At 40.7% G+C, this 1,461-nt stretch overlaps 1 annotated feature.

The window, feature by feature from the left end:
* Positions 288-1,133: an enhancer, noted in NCBI's record as "NANOG-H3K27ac hESC enhancer chr4:139568198-139569043 (GRCh37/hg19 assembly coordinates)". NCBI's record gives its function as "activates a minimal SCP1, AML or CMV promoter by ChIP-STARR-seq in naive H9 embryonic stem cells {active_cell/tissue: H9 hESC(naive)}" and the evidence as "EXISTENCE:reporter gene assay evidence [ECO:0000049][PMID:30033119]".

The following is a 1,461-nucleotide window of genomic DNA, read 5'->3' on the forward strand; positions in this document are numbered from 1 at the left end:
TCCTGTAGTTTTTAAAAAGTACTAGTTTAAAGGAATTTTTAATATTAATTTTAATTTTCATGATAGTATTCAAATTTAGCAAAATATTTCATGTTTGGACTATGTGTGCACTTACTAAACAAAAATATTACACCTCACAGTTCACATTTGTTTTGACTTTTTAAAGTATTAGACAAAAGCAAAAACTCCAACTGGTCACAGAAGATCATAGAATTGAAGTAACTTGTTACCTTTCTTCATCTTTATGATCATGTGCTATCACTGTTAATTTGTAACTTACTGTTTAAAAGCAGTAACATGAAGTACCACAGGGCGGGGAGACAAAAACTGCACTGCTAGCAGCTCACCCAATCCTGAGCCCTAATGAATTACTCTCAAAACCAATGCTTATAGCTGACTTGGCCTACAGCAGGGTCTCCCATATACTCCAAATTAACTTCCATGCAGATTGAAATTTTTATTAAAGAACAAGGTAGTAAAAATATGTTCAATTGGAAGCATTGATATACATTCATAAAATTCAACAGTACCCATAGCAATTATTTAGCACTTAGGCCTACAAAATATTTCCTTTGCAGTATTTTACCTCTGAAATTGTTTGAAATTGCTGGAGCAGGGTGACAATAAGAAGCACACCAACTCATAGGCAGTTTTATAGCTGGTTTTAAAATCTCTATAGGCAATGCATCTCCTCACTGCCTGCTCCCTGGAAGGCCACAGGAATGATCGCCTTTCCCCTTCCTCTATTTTATTATGACTCCTTACTTCCTTCCAAAAAATGCAGAGCAGGTGTAGAACCTGGAAAAAATGCAACTCTCCTGGAGAGCACAGCTGGAGTAGCCTGGCCTGAGGGTTCAGAAACAAGCTTCCACAGCCTTGCAAATGAGTCTGACACTCTCTGCATTCAGACCTCAACCACCTCCCAGTGGTGTTCAGCCACATACCACCTGCTGCGGGAGAAGTGATCCCACTTCCTTAGGAACCAATCTCACTTCCTTGGTCTCCTACTACATTAGTTTGCTTGGGTTGCTGTAACAAAGTGCCACAGACTGAGTGGCTTAAACAACATTTATTTTCTCACAATTCTGGGTGTTGGAAATTCAATATCAAGATTTCAGCAGGGTTCTTTCTTCTAAGGCTTCTCTCCTTGGCTCGTAAGTGTCCATCTTCTCCCTCTGTCCTCAAGTGGCTGTCCCTCAGTCTGTGTGTTGTCTGCATCTCAATCTTTTCTCCTTACTAGCACACCAGCCATATTAGAATAGAGCCCATCCCAATGATCCCATTTTACCTTAACTACCTCTTTAAAGACCCTGTCTCCAAAAATAGTCACTTCCTGAGGTACTAGGGTTTGGGCGTCAGCATGCGAATTGTGGGAGGACACAATTCAGCCCAGAACACCTACTACTCTCTGACCCCAGAGCATTCAACCCAACACCGTCTTCTTCCTTCCATGTCCAAAGC

This window comes from Homo sapiens, chromosome 4, assembly GCF_000001405.40.
Source record: "Homo sapiens chromosome 4, GRCh38.p14 Primary Assembly".
NCBI lineage: Eukaryota > Metazoa > Chordata > Mammalia > Primates > Hominidae > Homo > Homo sapiens.